This window comes from Homo sapiens, chromosome 8 (assembly GCF_000001405.40).
Source record: "Homo sapiens chromosome 8, GRCh38.p14 Primary Assembly".
Taxonomy (NCBI): Eukaryota; Metazoa; Chordata; class Mammalia; order Primates; family Hominidae; genus Homo; species Homo sapiens.
Window position 1 is genome coordinate 80998199 of NC_000008.11, and position 1536 is coordinate 80999734.

At 45.1% G+C, this 1536-nt stretch overlaps 1 protein-coding gene across 17 annotated transcripts in view; it reads right to left on the reverse strand.

Annotated features, from left to right (window-relative positions):
* Positions 1–1536, reverse strand: part of PAG1 (phosphoprotein membrane anchor with glycosphingolipid microdomains 1) — a 144259-nt gene that overhangs the window by 30389 nt on the left and 112334 nt on the right. The gene's annotated exons all lie outside the window — the stretch shown is intronic.

Genomic DNA, 1536 nt, shown 5'->3' on the forward strand with positions numbered 1-1536 from the left:
AGCTCACTGCAACCTTCGCTTCCTGGGTTCAAGCAATTCTCCTGCCTCGGCCTCCTGAGTAGCTGGGACTTCAGGCGCGCGCCACCATGCCCAGCTAATTTTTGTATTTTTAGTAGAGACGGGGTTTCACCATGTTGGCCAGGATGGTCTCCACCTCTTGACTTGGTGATCCACCTGCCTCGGCCTCCCAAAGTGCTGGGATTACAGGCGTGAACCACCATGACCGGCCAGCAGGTGTCACTTTTAACCACAAGGTGGCAGCATAATTCTGTTCTCAGCCCTATGCAGCACTTTCTTTAAGGAAAGCTGCTCAATTATTGTTGGTGCCTTATGCTTGGCATTTGAATTGTCTTCATTAGCCTGCACTATCAGCCACCAAAATCAATTCCAACAGGAGAAAAAAAAAACCACACAAATTAATGAAAGGTGCAGACCAAATGGCAGCTATTTATTTCTTTGGCCAAACATCCTTAACAGGTAGGTTCTCTGATCATAGCAAATTCTATAAATAATAATTTGGTAGAGATGGGATGGCCAGTGAGATTAGATATGGAAACAGACACTTTAGAGTTCTTTTGAAGCAGGTCTAGGTCAGTAATGATAGTCATTACCTTTTTACAGCTGTTGCAGTTGACACATAATTAAACATGATAGAAACCACCTCCACTCATGACCCCTCACTGTTGGATGAAATATGGTCAAGGGCCCAATCCCAGTGGGAATTCTTCCTTCCTGGTCATTACCAGGCGTGGGAACCATGTGGTAAAATGACACTTTGTGGGCTCTAAATTAACCAGATTTAATGATGGCGGAGGAAGCAGATTCTTTGGTGGGTTCCCTGGTCCTGTGAGCACACTGACAGCTGCACAGGCTAAGATGAAATAAACTCTGAACAGAATCCTCAAGCCCCAGAAAGAGTTTTAAGCTAAAGTGTGCAAATTCAGGTAGTCTTCCGTTCAGGTTACAGGGACTGTGCTACAGAAAAGCCTGCCACACTGAACTCTGCACGGATGAGTGTCTGTTGGAAACACATGGGGAATCACCTACCCAGATATTTACTATTCCATCCTGCTAAGGTACAAAGGCTTTTGCCTACACATGATTGTTATCAAGATCGCCCTATTCTGATCCTGCACTGAGTCAGGGGCAGAACACACCCAAAGCACAGAGGGTGGTGGAAGGTAAGCTTTTCTTGTTTATAGATTCCTGAATCCTTTTCTAATGTCCCCACCCAGTGATATCTTGACATCTCTTTCTGCAGCAGTTTAAGAATGAGTGTAGATGAAAGAAACCTGGAATGCCTTAACATCACCAGACCACAGTGACCCTGCTATCAGGACTCACTGCTCATGGGAGAGAGACCGGCACTCATCCTAAAAGCAAGTTATAAATCCTCATGGCTGTCTGTCAGCATAACCTGGTCACTTTTTGTACACACCAAACCTATCGATCTGCACAGAAAACAGGAAAGCTGACCCTTTTGGTGGAGGGGTATGTGGGGCTGTCACTTGTCTTCAATAATACATTAAACTTACA